The sequence below is a fragment of the Homo sapiens genome, chromosome 12 (assembly GCF_000001405.40).
Source record: "Homo sapiens chromosome 12, GRCh38.p14 Primary Assembly".
In the NCBI taxonomy this organism is placed as follows: domain Eukaryota; kingdom Metazoa; phylum Chordata; class Mammalia; order Primates; family Hominidae; genus Homo; species Homo sapiens.
In genome coordinates this window covers 79,243,766-79,269,427 of record NC_000012.12, presented here as the reverse complement: position 1 = coordinate 79,269,427, position 25,662 = coordinate 79,243,766, and the positions used below count along the sequence as shown (strand labels likewise).

The window sequence follows — 25,662 nt, the reverse complement described above, 5'->3', positions numbered from 1 at the left end:
GGATGGTTCCCTTTCCCTAGGAGCTTAGAAAGACTAACTCCCAGAAAATAAAACTAGAGATAGGAGGCAATACAGTTAAGCACAAAATTCAGTGGAGCAGAAAGGATTTATAGGTAGCTGGTTAGAGAAGGGCAAGATATATATATAAAGCTCATGGAGAGGGACTTTATTTACAATAAAAAAATTCTCTGTTTCACAGTTTTCTACCTGTAAATTAAGAGAACACTACCTGCCTCACAGGATTGCTGTAAGGATTAAGCGAACAAATGTATGAAAACATTGAGCCCAGAATCTGGCATTCAATAAATTTATTGATATTCAATAAAAAAAAAAAAAAGAGAAGGGCAAGATAAAAGGGGCCTGGAATTCAAAAACGACTTCATGGAGGAGCTACGTTCTGAGGTATGCTCCAAAGCCCTTCTTGCTCCACGGTGAAAATAGTATTTGGAAGACACCGTTTCTTTTCCTACCTGCCTCTCTTTCATCCTTTCTCTTTCCTTCCTTTCTTTCCTTTGGTTTTCAGACTCCTTTTAATCTAATTTGTCAGCCAGTGATTACTCTGTTAAACAGAGCTTTCAATATGATACAGACTTATCAAAATCTGCATTAGATTTTTCTATCATAGTAGATGAAAAGATGTTTCCTTGTAGTAAATTCATGTAGCCTTCTCCAAATAGCCTTCAGAATTGTCTCCTTAAGAATACATGTCACATTCTCCTCCCACATAGCTCTATTTCTCTTTTCAATTTGTGTTCCTGACAAAGAGGAAACTGGAATATATGTCTGTGCAAAAATACTGTAAAAATGCTCCAAGCCATTGACTTGGGTCAGTTACCTGTGACTTTTTAGGGCAGATAAATTGTGGTTAACAGTAATCTAGAAGAGAGACTCATTCATTCATTCATTCACTCATTCATTCACTCATCCATTTGAACAAGTTTGAAATAATTTATTAGTTTACAGTCTGCTTGGGCAGATTTGACTAACATATATGAAATACTGTGAAAAATACCACATATCATCTTAATTCCAAATTAAAGGGTTAATGATTAATCCATGGTTAATGGATTTTGATTCTGCTATATAGTCACGGCAAACTTATTTTACATGTCAAATGAATACAATTTTTTCGATGATTTTTTAAAAATCCTTAACATTTAATAGAATCGTAAATCTGCCTCTCTTTGCCCATAAACTCAACTGTCAATACATCAAAACTTTAGTAAAGTATATCATATTGTTTTGATATACACAAAGTCACAATCTATGCTTCGATAAATTTTTACCAGATCCTCTACCCTTTGATCTGATTTCTGTACTTCCTGTGCTGTTGAACAAATTCACAGTCCCTACTGAATAACTTATTAAGGTTACTGATGTTTCTCACTGCAGGCAATGATTAGTCTTGATGATGGAAGTTAGTTGAATGAAGGACGTTTTATCTGCACATGTATTGGTCAAATAATTAATTTTATAAAATGCCTATAATAATATTAGTCTGCTTTAAATGATAAGGCAAAGCCATCTATATCTTCACAGTATTGGAATGTCTGACATTTGACATGCAAAATGATGGGTCTTCAGGCAGAGATAAACCCCAGCACAACTTTCAGAGGATTTAGATAAGCCTCCACAGTCAGCCCAGGAGCTTGCTGTCTGCAGGCTCCAGGGAGAAGTGCGCTGGTAAACGTAAAGGATGCCAGGTAAGTTGGCAGAGGTGAAGGCAATTCACAGGCTAATCATCTGAAGCCTTTGGAAGTTTGTAACAGTTTTCATTCATGCTGTGGACAACACAATATTGTGGTTAAAGGGAAATCCATTCATCCTATGAAATTTTCAGTATGTCTTTCTTGAGTTCTGATTTCTAAGTTCAAAACTAAAAACACATAACCTCTTAGTCTTTTTTTTCTTTTGTCAAGGAAGCTAACTTTCTTTTCAACTTTTACGTTAGAAGACTTCACAATAGGCAGCTCTTGGATTCTGACCCAATTTGTATTTGGCTTTATTTTGACACTTTCAATTTGGTTAACAATTTTGTTAACCTGTTTTCCAACTTTGGCAAAGATGCCTGAGAAAAAGAAATTCATTCCAAGAATTGAACATGGCCCCTGTTGATAGCTTCTGAATAATTCAATATCTTAATATCTACTTTGTTTCTTTTCTAAGCAATTTAATGTTATTGAGATTAAATTCAATTATGATAAAAGATTATCAGCTAAAGGGGCAGATATATTCCCTGATATTTTATAATTTAAGGCCAACAGCTATAAGCAATAAGTAAACAAAAATGCCTTATTACTTGTTTTTTGGAAGGATTTTTTTTCCTCCACTACCTTTCTTTTAAGATTCTAGAAACAAGTGAGGACGTTTTTAGAATTCTCTGTAACTTGGAAAGATTTGATTGCATTGACAGCAGAATTGCATGGCTGCTATGCTTGGGTGGAGAAGAACAGGGCGTTTGAGTCTTTACAGTCATGAAAGGGAAGATTCAGGCTCATTAATTTCATTACTATACAAAGTGACAGGTAGGCAACAGTGAAAACAAAGCCCCTCACTTGCCTAAGTATCCACGGGACATTTTTCTTTGATTATCCAATGGATTTGTGCTGCTACAGACCAAGCTTATTAATTTTCCTCCCAATCTGTAGTTTGCTCTGTTTTTGTCAATCAGTTTCTCTCCATGGCAATTTTATCTGTCCAATTTTCAAAGTGTAGCAGCAGTTTTTCTTTTTGTTTCCTGGCTTTTAAACTGTCAACTTTATTCTACAACTCCCATGATCCTTGATTTATTGTCTGTTCTTGCGTCTGAAGGGACTTCCCTATACCTGTCAGTCTTTTACACAGTTACTTTTTCTTCATGATTTTTTTCTTTTACCATCATATGCCTCTTCTGTTTAGAGTTTGTATTCTAAGCACTGCAACTGTAAGCACATGACCACAAGGCCCTGCATGACTCTTGCTATTGTAGGTTTTCACAGATCTCCCTTAAGGATGTAGAATCCCCTTTATTTTTTTTTCTTTGCCAAAATAAGACATTGCTCCCAAAAGATTTCTTCCAAATGTCTACCTGAGTAATACCATATATAAGCCCTTTATTTTGTTTCACATCTGCATGTATTCACTCCTTTTGTTTTGTATTATCATATATCAATCTTTGTTTTCTAGTAGCTTTGTGACTTGTCTTTCTAACATGGGGGAGGCTACCTGAAGAGGGATACTGCTTTCTTCCTTTCCTTTGCCTTCCATGAAATGTCAGTTAAGTACATGCTAAGTCTTTAGAAAATGTTTATTGAATAAATAAAAATATAATCAGAGGCAGAGAAAGCTTTCTTCAAATATTGTTTACCTATAGTGTAAGCATGGCTCCACTGGACTCCTTATTAAATCTAAGTGGTACACTTAAAAAATATCAACTTTTCCAGATTATTTAGAAAACGTATGCACGTGTTCATTACTCTTTATTCTGGATAGACTATGGAAATGACAGAAAGACTCAATTGTTTTCTGTCAATTAGTTTTTCTAAATAATTTTTGCATAGCAGATCCTCTTGAAAAGATTCTCTTAACATTGTATTAGTAATGCTAATAGTTTTACTCTTCTTGCATGCAGCACTTGCAGTATTGTCTAATTCTTTCATTTATAGTTTTTTTCACTTTCTGAGACCCTTTCACATGACCTCAACTGGTTTGATCCTAAACACCATATTGTAGAATAGCTAAAGTAGCTAACATTATCTTCATTTTAAAGATGATAACATTGGGGATCTAAAATGTAGCTTCTGTAAAGTGATTCCTATTAGAGTTGGGATCAGATTTAGGTCCTTGGGGTTCAGCTTTCATACTCTTTCCATATATTCTGGCATTCTTTTGTGTCTCTGCTGAAAATTGAGCAAATGCTAATGATATTACAGCTAAGAAGAGTTTAGTTTTGTAAACGTATCAGTTAGTATAGTACTATCAGGCTTAATTTAAATGAAATAATTTTAAATTATTTACTCCAAATCAGTGAAAATCATTTGTCAAAAAACATAATTGCTATTAATCATAACAACAACAGGGCAGTATCAAGTATAAGAAGTTTCATGGATTTGGACTCCTAGCTTTGCCACTTAAATTGCCAAATAAATTTGATCAAGTTAGTTAAACTTTCTGAACTTCAGTTTTCCTCTGTATAAAATGAGAGCCAGGTGGAGAGAAGAGATAAGCATAAAAACCCTGTAAATGATTTGTGATAATATATAGATTTATAATATGTAAAGTACTTAGTGTAGTGGATACTAAGAAGAGTTTAAAAATGCCAGTTATTATCATTTGTCAGCAATTCCTGTTAAACTTCATAACTTAAAAATGTTGAAAACTTGGTTGAAAAAAACCCAAACTATAAAAGCTGTCTAGATAAAAGATGAAATACAAGCAATTTTACATGTATAATACAACCGTCAAAGCATTCAACATGTTCAAACTTAATGATATATCAGAAGGTGAGAGTAAGGTTCTAAAGTAAAGATTGCTGTTGAAAAACTGAAAGGCAAGACATTTGGTAGTACACAGCTATTCATGAATAAACAATAGAATGAGTAAATCAAACTTTGGGGAGAATAAAGAATAGTTCTTTGAAGTCACAGTGACTGAGAATTGTTTATCTTATTCAAATAATGCAAGCAGCATTAGAATAATACTAAATTTGTACTAATGGAAATAAACAATATGCAGTACTTTGTATTTTCAATAATTAGCCATTCCAGCTAACACTACCTGAGGTAAATGTTTCAGCAGAGCAGTGCAGGTATTAGTAGCAAGATTTTTACTATCTTTCCATTGGCAACATGCTAGATTTTGCTTGAACACACTCTCAATTCTATAGTGCATCAACAACAATAGACTTTTGGGTGCTGCTTTCTTTTTTCCTTCAAAATTGGCCAAGTATTTGAAGTGACTGAAAAAGCTACCTTGAGTTCAACTTTTATTATTCAATAACTAGTTACATGCACATTTACATTATAATGATCATTTTTCATTGAGAAACAACTTTATCACGTTTCCACTGAATAGTTTACCGTCTCTGCTAAAAATACAAAAAATTAGCCAGGTGTGGTGGTGGGCGCCAGTAGTCCCAGCTACTCGAGAGGCTGAGGCAGGAGAATGGCATGAACCTGAGAGGTGGAGCTTGCAGTGAGCAGAGAGCACACCACTGCACTCCAGCTTGGGTGACACAGGAGACTCCATCTCAAAAAAAAAAAAAAAGTTGCTGGGCTTATTATTTCATGCAGTCAATATTATCTTTATTCATAGATGGTAAATTTAAGGTACAGAAAATAATATGACTGCCCAAAAAATCCTTGGAAAAAATCATAGCCCAATCACAAGCTTACTTCTTTGAACTGTCAAGCTCTTTTTATTAATCCAATCTCTGATAATTCTATTTCAAATCAATCAAAGACAATAGAATTTAAACTTACTTAGGACCACACAATTTTTAGTCCTTTACTGTGTACATAATTCAAATGTAGATGCCATATTCACTTACAGGAAAGCTTTATTTTCTGCTGTCTGTGCTCATACTTAAAAAAAAAAAAGCTTAAGAGCCCATGTTTTCTTTTGGTGGTTTTGACTAGAATTGTAATATTAGTGGAAATTTGCATTTTAATATGATTTAGTAAAATAGTGAAATAGCTAAAGGATTTCCTTAGGGGATTAAAAGCTATGAAACTTAATAAAAGGGATAGCTGTGTTTTTTGTCTTCATTCAGTATTTTGCTTATATGTAACCATCTAAATCAAGAGCCTGGTCACTATACAAATATTATAATGTTTTTAACCTTACAGGATCACTAAATCCAGCCATTTCCTGGAAGAAATAGAATTATTTTAATATACTTGTGGCTTCTTAAATCAAAATTTTTTGAAAAACTACAGTAGACACATAACATATTTAGGCAAATGTCTTTCAAGCAATGTAAGATTTTATAATTGAAGTTCATCTTAATACTTTTAAATGAAAGAATATAAAACACAAAATATAGTGGGCAGATATGGGTAAATGTTTTCACTAAGGATGAAATTATTATTTCTGAAAAGATGTATTTATTTTAAATTAAGTATTATTAGGCAGAAAGAAAGAAAATAGTAGAACTCTGGACATAAAAAAAAAAAAAAAATCACCAGAAGAAGGATCTTAAGAAAGAACAACAAAGAAGTGAATGGAGTGTGCTATCTCCTATTGAAAAAGCTTAGCACTCACCCCAGAATGCGAGCTCACTGACTTGTAAGTGGTGACTAATTGCACTGAACAATTTCTTTAATCATGACTCTTTGAAGTCCTATCACGCATTGGAGACAAATGGAATGAAAATTAGGAATGCATTCTGGACATTGCAGAGGGGGCAGTAAGCGACCATATGTTTATGCTAATATAACTTCAGTTCTCACCTGAACCCTGTGCTCCAAGCTTTGCTCCAGGACTTTCTTGAAGCACACAGTGCTGTCTTATGCCTCGGTTTTCTCTTTTCTATGTACTCTATCTTTTTTGTGAGCTGCTTTTTTGCCTATTTGTTTTGTAGGGAAATCAACAGAGGGAAGAATACAGTGCAGAACTGTGGAAAGCTATTTGGAGCTGTTTTGTTCTTTTGCACTTTTTCTGAATGTCTCTGATCAGCACAATTTTTGAAATGAGGAGGGAAGGTGCTAAATAGCATGAGAGTTGCAGTACATTTCCTGGAGAAGAAGCGTTGAGGAGCTAGTTCAGCTTCAACAGTACTCAGAAGTTGGCAGAGAAAGCAGTTGGCACCCCCATTTTCCTATATTGTGAGAAGCGAGTCAGCTGCTTTAATTAAGGATTGTGTGGATGAGAATCTCAGGTATAATCTCAAGAATACAAATGTGGAAATGATTAAGATGAGCTTGAAGATGTACACACTTCCAGAAACTTCTAGTAATTTATAGAGTTGGACAAGGGGCAGAATTGTATATTTCTTGTAAAAAGTGATCTTGGCTCTGGTCCTCATCTCAGTCCACACCAATCAACACCAAAGATTTTACAACAGCAGATGCTAACACCTATGGCTGGAAAAATATCAGAGAAGAGTCATAAGGTTGGAGTTAAGTAGGAGAAGTTTCTTCTTCAGAAAGTTGGGATAAATACTGGTTATATTGAATACATTTGTAATTTTCTAGAGAAAAGTCCAACCATGCTATAAAACAAAATAGGTTCTTTGGAAAAAAGAAAGTATAAGGAAAAAAAAGGCTTGTTAACTACAACTGACCAGAATTATAATCAATATACAACAATCACAAATAAGTTCCTGAAATGGCTGAAACATAATGACTGTTTGGTTACTATTACAAAGCAATGCACACGGGTTTTGCCTTTCTATATCAGAATAGATTGGATTTATTGATCTCATAGAGCAGTTATTTTGGCACTATGTCAGTATAATTTGATTTTAAATTAAAATGAATGTTTATGTGTAGATTTTACTGTGTGAAATTTAACAATAAGAGAGTAAAATAATAAAACATTAATTATAATGTTACATATTACTTCCACTCTTCATGGTATTCTAGAAAGTGCTAGAGGTTTGGACTCAGAGAATTGTGTGTTCAGAACTCAGTGAGTCATTTTCTTCTTTGAGCTTTTATTTCTTTACATGAAAATTGAAATAATAATACCGCAATAATAACTGTGAGAATTACATGAGGTGATACCTATGAATACTTGGCACACAGATGAGATTTAATAAATGCTAATGCCCTTTCCCATTTTAAATAATAAGAAATATATATCAAATTCTGTTCTAAAATTTAATTTTTTTAACCTAAAGATATTCCTTGGTAACATTTAAAATAATTAGGCCCAAACAATAAAATTATCTGAGACTTGCTGTGCTTCCTTTAAAGACTTGGTTTGATTTGCTTCTCTTAAAAATTGAAGGAAAAGAAAATTGGACCAATGCAATCTCTACAATTTGGAAGAAATACAGATGATTAAAGTTAATCCAGTATAAAATAACAGCTTTTAAGTCTTAGACAATGGGATCCACTAGAATTCTGAGAGAATATAAACATAGTGTGGCAGAGAGATTGAAAATATTGGAGGAAGGAAGGTAGACATTTCTTAATGTTAAGAATGGATACTTTCTGAAAGAATTTTACAAATAGTAGATGTGGCATAGATCATTAAGTTTTGTAGGCAGTGAAGGTTGGCAGGGAGTTTTGTTTTTCTTGCCTGGCCATCATTTATATTCTCCTGCTGGGTTTTAAACTTATGGCTCTAAAGTACACTAACTAAAGCTATTATTTCTGTTTGAAGAATCTGCATGTTTTTATAAGACTACTGAGCACTTAATGGCCTTTACAACCCCCAAGAACAATGACAGTGGCTTGGATTTAGGGACTATGTGAGACCACTGAAGTTCCAACAGCGAGGTGACCCCTGAGCCATACTGAGCTGTTCACAGTGATGCAGACATGCAGGATTTCTGCAGGTAGACGGACTCACCAAATGATCCTCAAGATGTTTTTATCCTTTGATCTCATGATATGGTTGGATATTTTAATATAATGATATTACTCCTTTCCCCTTTTAACAGAATGGCTTGAGACCCAAGTCTACTAAAAAAAAAAATATGAGATTTCTGTAAAAACAGAATCTTAATTTTTTCCTTAGAAAAATAATCTAACGCTTAGATGTAAATGGAAGAATTCCTAATTTCAACTTTTGAATAGATTTTTATTACTGGATGGGGATTGTGGAGTAGAGAAAAATATAATGAAATTTAGGAGCTGCAAGGAAGATCTCAACCACCTGAGAAAGTTCAAACCTGGGAAAGGCAGGACCCTCACTGCTTCCTATCAACCAAAGCACAAGACAGTCTTAGTTCAGAAAGACAGTGATACTAGAACACAACAGAATTTTGTCCTACAGTTTAACTGGCTCAGAGTTACTGAAGCACTGGGATTTGCTGTCACTTTCTGGGTATTAGGGTGGATTTCAAAATACTTGTTACTACAGCAATTTTCATTCCATAAATCTGAATTTCTTGTTAAAGTAGCATTATGTCAAAATAAGACTTTGATGATATTTGTGGTTCTCTGAGGAAGTACCTTGTGCTTCTGCTTCTGAAGTTGTGTGTGCATGTGTTTGTGTGTGTGTAAAGTTAGCTACCAATAAAAATTTCTTCTCTGACAGATTTCTGTTGTATAAAGACCGTCTGCATTATTAGGGGCCACAGAACAACAACAGAATCTTAAAAACAATTTTCTTTGAAGTTCAATGAAACAGCCTTTTGCTCTAATTGCTTATTTACTTCAACTAGCAAAGACAAGTCATTCGTTTAGAATACAATACTCTCCAGTTTCAGAGAAATCAAGGGAACCTGACTGAAATTGATCAAAATAAAATAAAACCAAGAGAACAATCGCAGCTAAATTATAGGTTCTACACTGAATTTTTTCATAAGAGTTCTGTATTTGACTTTATTCAAGGCCTGAAAAATAAGGAACGGTGGAATCAAAACAAAAGAAAATCTTTTTGCCAATCATACTCAGCAAGTTTTGCTCTTTCTGGCTGTGGATACTTATAGAAAAAATAATAGGTATTTTAAAGTAGTTCTAAGGTATATTTGCACTTTGCCCCATATGGCTCCACATAATCAAGTCCCTTCTGAAAATAAATATGAGTTTTTTTGTTTCTGTTTGTGACAGGGACTCACTCTTCCATCCAGGCTGGAGGTCAGTGACACAATCATAGCTCACTCTAGCCCCTACCTTCCAGGCTCAAGAGATCCTCCTGCCTCAGCCTCCTGAGTAGCTGGGACCACAGGTGCATGACACAATGCCTGGCTAATATTTTTATTTTTTTATAGAGATGGGGTCTCCATATGTTGCCCAGGCTGATCTTGAACTCCTGGGCTCAAGCATTCTCCAGTCTTTGCTTCCTAAAGTGCTGGGATTATAGGCATGAGCCACCACATCCGGCCTTCTTTTCTTTTGTCATTATCTTGTTTTACATGCCTAATTTAAGCTTTAAGCTTAAAGGTGTTAGACAGTTTTAAATTCAGAATATGCAATATAGAGGAAATACAATTTAATGTCAGGTATTGTATTTGTAACATTTAAAAACAATGATTGTACTTTCACTTGTTTTAGGTTAAGAGCTCTGAATTTTTTTGTAGAACTATAAATATTAATTCTAGACATTCATACCAAAGGAAGTATTTTTCCTTATTGGAAGATTGTAAAATGATTTGGTGAGTACAAGGGAGAGGACAGAGAGGAAGACCAGGTTCAAATTGGTGAAACTGATTTATGCTAAACATTTCCTAGTTTTATGTGAAATCTTTAATCTTCCTTAGGTTATATTCTCCCTTTCTTCATCACCAAAACCTCAAATCACTTTTCTCATCAATTTCTGTCCAAATTTCTCATAATTCTGCCATCTTAGCAAGTTAACTCTTTCTATTTCTTCTTGTCCCCATCTCCACACAAACATTTAGAGTTGTCATCCCAGCATATACAATTTTGTATTCAGCCTTTTTCATTACAAGTTTTCACATTACCTCATGGACTTCTTTAATTCTTTCAAATATTATTAAAATTAAGTCAAGTAAAAAATTATTTATTTACCCACACTCAGTGAAGAAATAAAAAAGTATGGGTACTACTAAGGCCACATATGACTACCTTTGATTGCATCCTTTTCTCTCTTCCTAAGGGGTAACCTCTACACAAAATCTAGTGCTTTTATTCCTGTACATTTCTTTATGCTTTTATTACACATAAGTGTCTTCTTGGGAATTTTTTAGACTTTTTATTCCTAAGAAAACCCTTGCATACATCACAGAGAAATCTTAACAGCTCTTTGAACTTTCATGCTTTAGAGTCAAAATCACCTAACTTTAAAGCCACAAAAGAGTAGTAAACGCACCATACGTGATTTGTCACTCAAATTACCAAGGCGTCCCACATGCCCAGAAATCCATGTCACTTGTATTTAATGTAGGTCAGCATTTACACACTCTATCCTTGGAAGAACTCTCAGTTTACAAAAGTGATGCTGTTCAGGCAGTCTCTCATCTTCTTCCCTTGTCTAATTGGTACTCTCTTTCCTTTGAACTGTTTGAAAGTCAGACAAGATGTTAAGTCAGAAAAACATAAGAAAAGAAGCATAAAACCCTGTTTTCCAACACCATCGCAGTCATTCTGAAATAAAATAAATCAGAATGATTATTCCTTAGTATTCTTAAATGTGTAATCCATAGGAATATGTAAAATAAAGGTGTACTTTAGCTGACTTTCTTCTGAGAATGAGATATTCTTGTTTATTGTCATAGCAAAACTCAAATAATCACTTTTTATATTTACTAATTAATTTTGCTTCTTCATCTAAACAGTTGATTTTTTTTCTTCTTTTAGTAACCTTGCCTTTTGTGAAATAAAATGCTAAGCATCAGAAGGGAGAATTCAGATGTTGTGATACATCCTAAAACATTTGTTAGCATTCATCCTACTTTTTTAACCCACTATATACAGTAAGGAATTTTCACCGCCAAGGCCATAACCCAGTATATCAAAGGGGATGTGGACACAAACATCCATTTCCAAAAGTATATGAGGTTAATAGTCAGATGCTTTTCTTTCTCGGTTTATTCGCGCGGTGGCTCACGCCTGTAATCCCAGCACTTTGGGAGGCCGAGGCGAGCGGATCACCAGGTCAAGAGATCGAGATCATCCTGGCTAACATGGTGAAACCCTGTCTCTACTAAAAATACAAAAAATCAGCCGGGGGTTGTGGCGGGTGCCTGTAGTCCCAGCTACTCGGGAGGCTGAGGCAGGAGAATGGCGTGAACCCGGGAGGCGGAGCTTGCAGTGAGCAGAGATTGCGCCACTGCAGTCCGCAGTCCGGCCTGGGCGACAGAGCGAGACTCCGTCTCAAAAACAAAAACAAAACAAAACAAAACAAAACAAAAAACAGCAATGTTACAATGGGATGCTGTTAACAGATTCCTGGCTTCTTTTTGTTCTGCACCAAAAGTGTGACCTCACTGTAGTACCACTGGCAAGATGATAAATAGATTTAGTTAATATTAGCTGTGCGACAAACATATCATTTAGCCTCAATACATGACTGCTAATCATCAAAATGAAGCTTCCAGTGATCAAACATGCTGATTTATGGTATGAGAAGGATACAGGTTGACTATTTTCCCACATTTCAATAGATTAATGTCACCTTTGTTTACAAGTCTGAAATTGAGTTATTGTCTTATTATAATATCTGATGGGTTTTCTTCAGTTTCAGATAAAATTGAATTTTGATACATGCTACTAAATATCTGTTAAGGCTAAATTCAACAAAATTCTCTTTTGTGCCCTACATCTTTAAGATCATTTATCTTGGCCATAAACACACAGAGACTCTCTTATCAAGTTGCTAGAAGCTATTTTTATTAGTAACATGGTCTCCTCTGGAAATGGAGCTGAAGTTAACATTAGGAAGCTTTGATTTGAGATTTCCTGAAGTTAATTTAAAGATGAATCATGGGTATACCCTGCGTAAAATATAATATTCTCATATTGTGTAAGTACATTTTGTAATATTGTTACTCAGATAAAACTCAAGTGTAAGGCAAACAAATGAGAAACATGGATTAATTAACTTGAGTAGATGGCATTTTTCTTCTGTATCAGGCAGAGTAACTGGCATTAAAAATTTTAGAAGCATTCCTATTGCTTGTAAACTTTTGGAAGCATATCTGCTATTAGTAGTGTATCTCCCTTCATCAAAAAATGGTTTTGAGTTATTGACCAACCCCTTTTAAAGATCTTGGAACTACAGCATGAGAAAATACATGTTTCTATCACTGGACTTGATAAAAATATTCAATAGAACTCATGTAATTTTTAGCACATATAACTCAGAAATCACAAGAATTGGCATCACATTTGTGCTTGATAAGGTAATGGTTTGATAATTTAAATGCCCTTCTAAAGAAAGCGCAATGACAAAGAAAAAAAATTCCCTGGATATATTAAAATCAATCTGGAGCTACAAGATTCTGCAGGCCAACAAAGCCTGAGATTCCTTTTTGGGCTCCTGTTTTCAACATTGAATGGGTTTGCATTGCAATATTCAGAGGCAATTAAATACACCTGTGCTGTTGAAAATTGGCATTGCAAATATTAGTAGAGAAAATATGTGCCGAAAGGCAGAATTTCTTTTGCCGTTTCTCTCATTGTCCTGCATGATCATGTTACAGATAGTCATGGCAGTCATCTGCTTTTAATGTTTAACTGAAATCCATGCTTTCAAACTGCAAAATATGTCATTTTCCAAAGCCACAAGTGGTTGCAGAGCCCTTATCTCTCACCTTAGAACACGTAAGCCACTATTCATTTTGTATTCTAGGGATATATTTTAATTCAAGCACTGTTTAAAATTGGGATAATCATAATCTTGGTAATTAATTTATGATTACACATTCTCCCTATTAACATACTTTAATGTACATTAAATTATTAGGCATCTGTCTAATAATGTGGCAGAGCAAATCTATTTAGAAATCCACATTATCCACTACAATACACAAGCAGTGAAACTTATCAGTATACCTCAGTTTCTTCTCAGTAGACCCAAAACTCTCTCCTGAGACAAAACTGCATATACTGCAAACACAAGGGCACCTCATTTTAAGAAATCTTTCAATTCCACAGAGTCTTGTAGAAGGCCATTACTCTTATGAAAAACGTTCCTGGTTACATAGACATTCTTCTTCCTTACTTTTTGCTAAGAGAGTGCTGAATTGTTCTGGTATTATGCAGGGATTAATTTACTCAAGAATAGTAGGTTCCTTTCCCAGATGTGTGAGATGGATTATGACCAAATTAAGTCAGTTTTGTACAGGCATAACTTACAGATATTGCAGGCTTGGTTCCAAACCACCACAATAAAATGAATATTGCAATAAAGTGAGTCACATGAATTTTTGGTTTCACAGTGCATATAAAAGTTCTGTTTACACTATACTGTAGCCTGTTAAGTATATAATAGCATTAGGTCTAAAAATCAATGTACATATATTAACTTAAAAACACTTTATAGCTAAAAAAATGCTGACGATCATCTGAGCCTTCAGCAAGTCATAATCTTTTGCAGGTGCAGGGTCTTGCTTCTGTGTTGAAGGCTGATGGATGCTGACTAATTAGGGTGGTGGTTGCTAAAGTTTGGGGTGGCTGTGGCAATTTCTTAAAATAAGATAACTATGAAGTTTGCTGCATCAACCAACTCTTCCTTTCATGAAAGCTTTCTCTGCAGCCTGTGATACTGTTTGATAACATTTTACCCACAGCCAAACTTCTTTTGAAGGCAGAGTTAATCTGCTCAAACCCTGCCACTGCTTTATCAAATAAGTTTATGTAGTAATCCAAATCCTTTGTTGTCATTTCAATAATGTTCATAGTATCTTCACCAGGAGTAAATGCCATCTCAAGGAACCACTTTCTTTGCTCATCCATAAGAAGCAATTCTTTATCTGTTAATGTTTTATCATGAGATTGCAGCAATTCAGTTACATCTTCAGGCTCCACTTCTAATTCTAGTTCTCTTGCCATTATCACATCTGCATTTAACTTCTCCACTGAAGTTCTGAACCTCTCAAAGTCATCCATAAGGATTGGAATCAACTTCTTCCAAACTCCTGTTAATGTTGATATTTTGACCTCCTATGAATCATGAATGTTCTTAATGGCATCTAGAATGATGAATACTTTCTAGAAGATTTTCAGTTTACTTTCCTCAGCTGCATTAGAAGAATAACTATATACAGCAGTTACAGTCTTACAAAATGTATTTCTCAAATAATAAGGCTTGAAAGTTAAAATTACTTCTTAATCCATGGGCTTCAGAAAGGATGTTGTGTTAACAAGCATGAAAACAACATCAATCTCCTCCTGCGTCTTCATCAGAGCTCTTGGGTGACTGTGTGTATTGTCAATGGGCAGTAATATTTTGAAAATAATCTTTTTTTTGGCTGAGCAGCAGGTCTCAACAATGGGCTTAAAATATTCAATAAACCATGCTGTAAACAGATATGCTGCCATCCAGCTTTGTTGTTCCATTTATAGAACATAGGAAGAGTAGCTGTGTCATCATTCTTAAGGGCTGTAAAATTTTTGGAATGGTAAATGAGCACTGGCTTCAACCAGCTGCATTCATCCCTACTAAGAGTCAGCCTGTCCTTTGAAACTTTGAAACCAGGCATTGACTTCTCTCTAGCTATGAAAGTCCTATGAAAGTCTTCTTCCAATGCAAGGCTGCTTTATTTACGTGGAAGACATGTTGTTTAGTGTGGCCACCTTCATCAGTCTTCTGGAAAACTTGTGGCAGCTTCTCCATCAGCACTTCCTGCTTCACCTTGCACTTTGATGGTCTGGAGGCAACTTCTTTCCTTAAACTTCATGAACCAACTTCAAACTGTTTTTCTGCAGCTCCCTTACCTCTCTCAGCTTTCATAGAGTTGTGAAGAGAGTTAGGATCTTGCTCTGGATTAGGCATCAAATTAGGTAGTTGTAGCTAGTTTGACCTTCTATCTGAAACTTTCTCCACATCAGCAATAAGGCTGTTTCACTTTCTTGTGATTTGTGTGTTCAGTGGAGTAGCACTTTTCCTTCAAGAACTTTTCCTTTACGTTCACAACTTTGCTAAGTTGTGCGAGATGACTAGCTTTCAGCCTGTCTTGGGTTTCAACATGCCTTCCTCACTAAGCCTAATCATTCCTGGCTTTAGATTTAAAGTGAAAGACACAAGACTCTTCCTTTCACTTGAACACTTAGAGGTCATTGCAGGATTATTAATTGGCCTAATTTCAATATTGTTGTGTCTCAGAGAATTGGGAAGCTTTCTGAGGTGAGAGAGAGAGAGAGAGAGAGAGAGAGAGAGAGAGAGAGAGACTGGGCAATGGCTTTTGGTGGAACAGTTAGAACATACACCACATTTATGGATTACGTTTACTGTCTCATATGGGCATAGTTCTTGGTGCCCCCAATTACAATAGTAACATCAAAGATCACCGATCACCATAACAGATACAATAATAATGAAAAAGATTTAAAAATTTCAAGAATTACCAAAATGTGACATGAGAGAGATAGAGTGAGCGTAGCTTTGGGGAAAATGGCATTGATTTGCTTGACACAGATTTACTAAAAATCTTCAATTTGTAAAAAAATCTGCGGTATCTTTAAAGTGCAATACAGTGAAACATGATAAAATGTGGCAAGCTTATAGTTTTTTTCTTTTTGTCATTGATTGGTCTAGGGTTGGATATAAGATTTAGCACTAACAGTAAGATATAATGGAAACCTGGAGGAGACTTTCAGAAAATATTTTCCTCCCTGATAAAAGAGAGAGCACTAGGGGAAAAGATCCTTTTTGCCTTTGCTCCCCACCATTCCACTTCCTGATTGTATTGCTATGTGGGAATATGATGTTTGGAGCTGCCACAGCTGTTCTTTAATGATTCAGAGAAGGCTCAGAATTACTGGCTCAACCTGTCAACTAGCTCTGGAACTTCCTTCTCCATTACTTGACTTTATCTGAGAAAGTTAAATGCGTTATTGTGTAAGGTGGCTGTATTAGTCAGGATAAGTTAGATTATGCACCAGTAATGTCACAAACAATCCGAAGTCTCAGGGGTATAACACCACAAAAGCTTATTTCTCACTCATGCTACAGGTCTACGGTGGATCAGTAGAACTTCTGTTTATTGCAGTCACTTAGAGACCTGGGTTGATGGAGCAGGAGCACCTGCAAAATTGCTGGTTTCTGTTCCTGAAAGAAGAATGAGGTCTGGATGATCTCATATCAACAATCAAATGCTTATCCCAGAAGTGAAGCATATCACTTCCATTCACAACTTCCCTGTCAGAATGAATCACACAATTCTACCCACAAGAGAGTAAAAAAAGTGCAATTCTGCCAAGTGCCCCTAAGCAGGCGCAGTCAGAAATACTTTTTGAACAGTACTAATGACCACTACCTCTGCTTAAGAATCCTGTTACTTGCAGTGAATGTATACTAAATATGGTGATGATGATGATGATGATGATAATAATCCTTAAAATTATTGAATGTCAACAATAAATTAGCCATTGTTCTAAATTTTTAATATTAATGCATTTAATATGTACAATAATCTTATAATGTGAGTACCATTTTTATTCTCATTTCTCTGATGAAAATCTCAGAGTAGGTTCTTGCTCACATTTAGAAGCTTAATGATAGAGTCATGATTTTTTACTAAACTTAGGCCGTGTAGCTGTGAAATCTATGCTGGTAACTAACATGCTCTACCATGTCATAAATCTGTAAATTTTTGCTCTTCAAATATCCATAGATATATAGATACACATCTGTCTATATATTATCTATCTATCTATCTATCTATCTATCAATCATCTATCTTGTTAAGAAAAACATATATTCAACTACCATAACACTGTTATTGGAAAAAAAAATAAAACTCCATTAGGAGATATTTATCAGTTACTATACACTTAGTTGAAGTCAGCATATTAGACACGTTTTGAATCAGTTTTTCCAAAGCATGGAAGTAAGCAGGTTTTCCTCCATAAAACAGAAAAGCAAAGTATATTTTATAAATTACCAAGCCTGAGGCCTCAATCACTAACAGCCTGAGTTCTACTCACTTGGGGTTAAGTCAAGATTGAACACACTTTTTACTGTCCATGGAAGGAAGCAAGTATCTATAGCCCAGAGCTCTTCACTTGGTGAGTGCTGAACTTCTATAAATAGAAGTTATAAACCTCAGACAATGCATTCAGGCGATGACTACAGAGTGTGGTTATCCATAGAAGTGCAACTTCATCCACCAACTTACTCTTTATGGGAAGACTATTTTGCTACCTGCGCTTGTTGACTGGGTGAGGGAGTATCTAGATTTGATGACTAAGGAGGCTTATTTTGACTCAAATTTCCATTTTCTCTTATCTGAGCAAGTTCTATTTATTTTCTGGGGAGATTTCCTCATTTAATTTTCCTGAATTTGGATTTTGGAGTTTTAATTGATTTTTTTTTTCCCTCCAGGTTCATATCCATTGTTTGGTAAAAGCACTCAAATTCCTCTCTGGAAAAATAATGCTTCCTCATTGTTAATCAGGGTAATTAGAGTATTAGTGATTCTTCCCTTCTTTAAGGGTGGATATAAGTCTCAGGTCTGGTGAGTCAGGAGATTTCATTCCTCCAGGGCAAAATGATTAGTCTATAGCTGAGTACATGACCCAAGTCAGTATTAGTAGTACTCAGACTTGAGACTATTGTGACAAATGCTAGAACTAGAAAAGGCAACAGAAGGGTAGAAATTTTGCAGTCTTCTTTACTGATGTATTTCCACATTGAGTACAATGCTGTCACATGGTAGGCACTCAGCATAAAGTGAAAAGTCACTTTATGCTGAGCTGCTCCACTAGTTGAATGGAAACCTTGAGCTGCCAGATAACCAACATGTAGAGGACACCTGCCTAAGAGAGATGTTAAAACCTGAAGAAAGCCAAGCCAAAGATGGAAAAAGAAAAAACGAAATGCTGATAACATAATTTGCCCTTTGGTGTCCAGCTTTGTGGAAGCCAGGGTAGGTGGCTACTTCTTAATTCTTAAACAAACCAACAAACAAAAAATTCCCCTTAACACACAAGTTGAAGTTGAGTTCCCCCCACCTAAAATACAATTCATAGATCATCCATTTTATCATATGAAGATTCTTCTAGTTCTGGGTTATTATAACAAAATGACCAGAATTGGATCATCCTAAAATCACTGACTTCACCATTTTGTTCACAGATTTTTATTGTTGCTGCAGTATAAATTATAAATACATTTCCACAGATATAAAAACACTGCAGAGATATACCAAAGTTGTGCACGGTAATTACCCTCAAATTTGAAATATTTTAAGTGGTCTGTTCTTGCTGGACTCAAGGAAATTGACATATCTGAGGGTGATTCAACGTGAGTGTTCCAGGAAAGCCCTTATTAGGAATACGGAGGAATATGTTTACATACCGGAATTGTATTTATTAATAAAGAGTGAGTAAGAACAAGAAATAAGAGCTTTTTCTTACTGGGAGGTATCATATTCTGGAAGTCAGACACACCAAGCCATGTTCCTTTTTTTCCTGGAAGGACTTCTATAAAAGGGATGTTCAACTCTTGTCCTGAATCCTCCTTTCACCTATGCAGTGGTATTTTTTGTCAACCACTTTTAGATAGATTTTGTATCTTCCTAGATACATATTATTGGTAAAACTTTGGGTAAGTTAATTTCTCTAAAATGGAAATAATGATAATATTCATCTTATAGAATTGCATGAAGATTAATTAAGATGATTCAAGTAAAGTGCTTAATAATCACTATATTAATGATAATGATCATATTACAGGTTCCAGACCCAACCCTATTTTTTTTTTATTTGGTCTGGGGACTTTAAGGAGTTCTAGCTTTCTTAATTTGCCTTATTCTGATTTGGAGATTCACTTCTGATGTTGGGGTTCAAAACTTTGATACTTTACATTCTACTCTAATTTCTAAAACAGGCTTCATTCTCCTAAACTGCTGTTAACATGAAAAATTTTAAATTCCATTTCTCCAGGAATGGTGACCTAACCTTCTCTTGTTGGTTCATTGATAGGAGTAAAGTCATCACCAAGGCTGGGCTGCTGCTATTGGCTGCCACATTACCTGCTTGGTTATCTGCAAATGACAAGACCCTTGTTTCTACATCCTTCCTGCAGGTACTTAGCACTAACTTCTGGCTCAAAATGCTTTGATGCCATCTCCCTAAAGAAAAACCAATAACTTTTGGTCTTTCTTTAACTACCTGATTGGGCTGCTAGTCTAGTCCTTCCATAGAGTTGTGTATGTCCTTTAGAGTCTGTCTCCTCTGGATGCATGTGATTTCTCACCACTCACACTTCCAACTCTTCAGATGGAAGATATAGAAAGAGGTAAAGAGGGCCGGGCGCGGTGGCTCAAGCCTGTAATCCCAGCACTTTGGGAGGCCGAGGCGGGTGGATCATGAGGTCAGGAGATCGAGACCATCCTGGCTAACAAGGTGAAACCCCGTCTCTACTAAAAATACAAAAAATTAGCCGGGCGCGGTGGCGGGCGCCTGTAGTCCCAGCTACTCGGGAAGCTGAGGCAGGAGAATGGCGTGAACCCGGGAAGCGGAGCTTGCAGTGAGCCGAGATTGCGCCACTGCAGTCCGCAGTCCGGCCTGGGCGACAGAGCGAGACTCCGTCTCAAAAAAAAAAAAAAAAAAAAAAAAAAAGAAAGAGGTAAAGAGAAGAGGGAATAATTTGCATAGTGGTTGCCCTTCAACAACTCTAAGCCGGAATAGCCATATGCCTGGGAGATGAAACATGCTCCGGAGTCAAAAATAGCTAAAACACATGCAGAGAAATAAAATCAGTTTATTCTGCCAAGGATATCCTACCTCTAAAAACAGATAATTAATTTCACAGATTTTTAAAGGGTCAATATTCTCAGATTTTCTATACAATCAGTTATGTGTTAGAATCAATTTAATCAATCACCTCCTTTGCAGGGCTAACTCTCAATTAGAATGTCAAGGGTCTCCAGCTGACTTAAACTTTTGGCCCAGAGGTGTTTGTGTCAGCAAGATCTGAAATCTGATATATTCCAGAAGCAAGCCTTTCTTGCCTATTTGCATTTTGTTGAACATACCATTTCCTCTTGACTCTCATTTTAGTCTTCAGTAAAGTTAGCCTTCTCCATCTTCTTTGGTACTCATTTACATCCTATCCACTGCCAAATTCCTCCCCATGGCATTTTTGAAACTTAAGACTTTTTCATTTTCACAAACACCATACTTCTCCTTCCTTTTGATATTTCCATGCGTAAATTGCTATAATGATTTCTAAACAAGGAGGCAAGAAAGGTCTCTGGCTTTCATGCTATTGTCAAAATATTTTTTCTTTTTTGAATATGCTAATTTTCCTCCTTTAAAGAATGTCAGGTACAATAGAGGTTCTCCATCACCTGCACAACCCAATCTCTCCGTCTGTTGAGTCCTAGTTTTTTTCTAATATATTTTTATTTTAATCAATCTAATCTTACTGTACCCTTTATCCATCTCATTCATCTCACTTACTATTAAATCCTGTCTTTTGGATCTAAAAATAATCTTCTCAACTCTCCATTAATGGAGGATTCACTTAAAATATTTTTTTCAGAAATCTCATTGGTTTGCACCAATGTTATGTGATTAGTTCACCTACTTTAATGTGGGGCATCCTAAGGAAGATTTAAATGGACTGTGCCAACTGGGTCAAATGGGCTTAGTTCTGTGTAAGTTAACTTTAAAATTTGACTTAATTATTCGGACTATTCTTCGCTATTTTTTCTAACCAATAAGATCTTTATTGACCTTCATTTTCTGAACACGTAATTCAAGATGTTCTTTCTTAAGAGAAATATTTTCAGCAGCCAAGATGGCTCTTATTACTTTCATACTTTGTGTTCCTTCACTGTGCATCTTCCTAGATTTTCACTATAGCTTCCTGCGGTTTTTGAAATACTGCTCTGGAAGCTGTTTTTCAACTCTTATTTTTTTTTTGTTTTCTTTTATAACTGTGAGCCTTTTGAGTATCTATGTTTGTGTGCTGAAAGCATCTATTGTATTGTAAATGTCTTCCACTGCCATTGTTGTGTACTCTAGAAGGTTGTTTAGTACACAGCAGGCACTCATTAAATGTTTAGAGATCCACGGCCAATGTGTAGGTGGTTGCTAAACAATCTACCATGTATTAAGGGAATATATGTTTTTACCTTTCTCAATTGCAGGTGGGATGCTAATAATCCTGGAGTTCTTAATAATTTCCCATAAATTGTTTCTCTCATGAGGAAGAATTGTGTATCACTGACTTTGCTTGTGTTACTTTGCATTATACTCTATATATCCCAGCAGTGGTATGTTAATTCTAGGCCAAGAATGTTTAAAAACAATATTGTAAAGTCCAATTATAAGAAAAGCCTTCCCTGCCTCATGAGTTATACATATTAGATGGTTTTTAACTTCAGATATCTTTTTAAAAGCAGTGAACCGAAAGTACCGGTAAATGGGAGAAATGAGAATGCATTTTCTATACAGGTGAGAAAAGATGCCTCATCATACTTGACTTTTGAATACCCTCCCTAAAATTTTAATATCTGCTCTATAAAAACCATACACTGTAAAGTCACAGGTGATAAACTCATCACTAAATGTAATTATCTTTATTTTTCCCAACCTCTATGACACTTGGAATTGGAAACAAATTTAAAATTTCTAGATTAAAAAAACCTTTATCCTTTGAATCTGTTGCTTTTATTCTTTGACTTCTCAGCAACTGTACATCTTTACTTCTATCACTCTATCCATCTAACACCCCCAATAACTGAATGCTCTGTCAACCTTATACTGAACCCTTATGTTCCAGCCACTGGGCTGGACAAGGGTGATAAAAAGAAATCAAGGCATCCCCTTAATTTTCCAGAAAATCATAATAATTGAGATAAGAGATAAATGACTATGATTCCAGATAGAATTAACGATAATTGCCTCAGAGGCCATTATTGTCTGAATGTGTCCCCCAAAATTCATATGTTGAAACTTCATCACCAGTGTGGTAATTTTAAAAGTCAAGGTATTTAAGAAGTGATTAAGTCATGAGGGCTCCTCCCTTGTGAATGGGATTAATGCCTTATAAAAGAGGCTTCACACAGTATTTGCCCCTTTGCTCTTCCACCTGCCACCGTGTGAGGAGACAGTGTTCAAGGCACCATCTTAGAAGCAAGGACCAGGCCCCTATCCAGACACTGAACCTGTTGGTACCTTGATCTTGGACTTTCCAGCCTCCAAAACTGTGAGCAATAAATGCATGTTCTTTAAAAATTATCCAGTCGCACATATTTTGTTATAGCGGCAGGAATGGACTAAGACAGAGGCAAAAGTTAAAAAAAAGTGGAAATCCAGAGAAAGAAGAGAAGAACTGGAATGGACTTATGAAAGGGGTATCATGAAAAATGTGTAAAATTCACACATGCGAAGCTGATGGGTGAAAGAGAGGCAACGTGAATAAAAGAGTAGAGGCGAAAATAAGTACTACATTGAAAAAGAGAACAATATCTTTTATGCACATTGCCTCGTCTTTTGGAATTGACCACTAACATGTCTACTGGTCTTCAGATTCTGTTCTTCATTAAGACTTTTGCATAATTTCCATAAAATATTTTAATCTTATGATTAAAATACTAGTAAAAATCTTTAATAACTCCCTATTTTTTAAAATAAAAGAAATGCTCTGCTTTAAATTGATATTAAAAGTACTTTATATTTGGATGCTAAACATTTATCTCATACTATGGTGCAGGGGCTGATTTTCTGCAACCAAACTGATCTTTCCACGTATCTCAATTATGCCCTGCTCAGGCCACATCTATTTGCTCATGTGGTTCCCTTTCCTGAAAAAAAAAAAGTGTTAGTCTACTGTTATATATTCTTTTTACTTTTCATGAAATCCTCTTAAACTACTCTGTTAAACATTTCTAGAACTGAAGGAATCATGTATTATGTTCATTTGGTATCTCACCTATATTTATCCTACTACATGATCTATAAGAAATCATGTTGAATTTAATTAGACAGTGATAGAAGCTAGTTTAAGGGATTTCCCCTGAGTTGCTCCCCAGAACAGCTTGCTTTGGTCTCAGAATTAACAAAATTGCATAATTATTTTCTGTGTTCTTTTTCTTTTTTTTCTTTTTGCCACGATGCTTTGCCATTATATTTTTCTTGTTATAAACATTCTTCTCAAAGTTCTGCACGAATACATACATAATGAAGTTTTTTTTTTCTTTTTTCTTTTCTTTTTTTTTTTTTTTTGTTGACGGAGTCTCGCTCTGTGCCCAGGCTGGAGTGCAGTGGCGCCATCTGGGCTCATTGCAGCTCCGCTTCCCGGGTTCTCGCCATTCTCCTGCCTCAAACTCCCGAGTAGCTGGGACTACAGGCGCCCGCTAACATGCCTGGCTAATTTTTTTTTTTTTTTTTTTTTTTGTAGAGACGGGGTTTCACCGTGTGTTAGCCAGGATGGTCAGGATCTCCTCACCTCGTGATCCGCCCGCCTCGGCCTTCCAAAGTGCTGGGATTACAGGCGTGAGCCACCGCGCCCGGCAATAATGAAGTTCTTATGAAGTCAAAGCCAGGTTAGAAGTTATTTATTTATGTTTGAGTTTTCAAGCAAAGACCAAAGTGTCATTTTTTAAAGCATGGCTTGCTTCTACACAGAGGTATGGCAATTTCAGAGTCATTCCTTCGGCCAGAAAACTCATTGCTCATACCTTATCTTGTAGCCATAATAGCTATCATTCCAGTGGAAAAAATTTTCAGGAATTGCATTTACTTGCCAAGACAGCTACCTACTTCATCAGATGAAGTTTTTGAGTAACTTTTAAAGTTCTCATTCCATTATTGCCACATAGAAAAAGAAACTAAAGATAGAAATCTCAGTTAAAAAAAAGCCGTTCAAAAGTCAAACTAGAATCCCAGCTTCACTAGCTCAACATGTACTAAACTGAGATGTGTGGAAACTTAGCGGGGAAGGTTAATATAACCATGGAGCACTTTAGCTTTTTTTTTTTTTTTCTTCTTTTTTTGAGACAGGGTCTCTCTCTGTCGTCCAGGCTGGAGTGCAGTGGCGTGATCCTGGCTCACTGCAACCTCTGCCTCCTGGGTTCAAGCAATTCTTCTGCCTCAGCCTCCTGAGTAGCTGGGACTACAGGCGCCACCACCATGACTGGCTAATTTTTGTATTTTTAGTAGAGACAGATTTTACCATGTTGGCCAGGCTGGTCTCGAACTCCTGACCTCAAGTGATCCTCCCACCTTGGCCTCCCAAAGTGCTGGGATTACAGGCGTGAGCCACTGTGCCAGGCTATCACTTTAGCTTTATGATCAAATATTGATGTTTCCTGTGCCAATGTAGAAAAAATGAAAGTTTCTAAGGAGAAAAAGAATGCAAAAGAACTATGAAAGAAATCATGTGGAAAGTTCTTGAGGATCAAGATTTCCAAAGAGAGAGAAAAAGGTTTAGCAAATTGTAAAGTAAATGAGAGTATGGCATGTGCAAAGCCAATGATAGTGATGAAGGTATTAATTAAAGCATCTTAATTTTTGGCCAGGAAAAGAGAACACTAATAATTATCAGTATGAAGTCTTTCGATGCAGTACGTTAAAGTGCCCAGAATGGAATCAAGGTGAATTGATCAATTGTTTTAACACAATTGAAAATGTGGTGTAAGAGTTCATTATGAAACTGGGTAAAATATATAACAACTTTCTTTTACTTTATGATAGAGTATACAGGATTATGCTTTTCATGTCATAAAATTTATATCACATTCTAAGCTTTATTAGGTATAATTTAGCCACCCCCATCCTGTATTTCCTTCCTTCCTTCCTTCCTTCCTGCCTTCCTTCCTTCCCTCCTTCCTTCCATCTCACCTTCCTTTCTTCCTTTTTTCTTCCTCTCTTTTTTCCTTCCCTCCTTTCCTCCTTCCTTACTTTTTATGCTAAGTAAATTTGTAATGTTACC

The 25,662-nt window shown here is 35.8% G+C and overlaps 1 protein-coding gene across 16 annotated transcripts in view, besides 1 other annotated feature; it reads right to left on the bottom strand.

Annotated features, from left to right (window-relative positions):
• Positions 1-25,662, bottom strand: part of SYT1 (synaptotagmin 1) — a 588,027-nt gene that overhangs the window by 182,581 nt on the left and 379,784 nt on the right. The gene's annotated exons all lie outside the window — the stretch shown is intronic.
• Positions 16,725-17,019: a silencer, noted in NCBI's record as "tiled region #15006; HepG2 Repressive non-DNase unmatched - State 24:Quies". NCBI's record gives its function as "represses a minimal TATA promoter and a strong SV40 promoter by Sharpr-MPRA in HepG2 cells {active_cell/tissue: HepG2}" and the evidence as "EXISTENCE:reporter gene assay evidence [ECO:0000049][PMID:27701403]".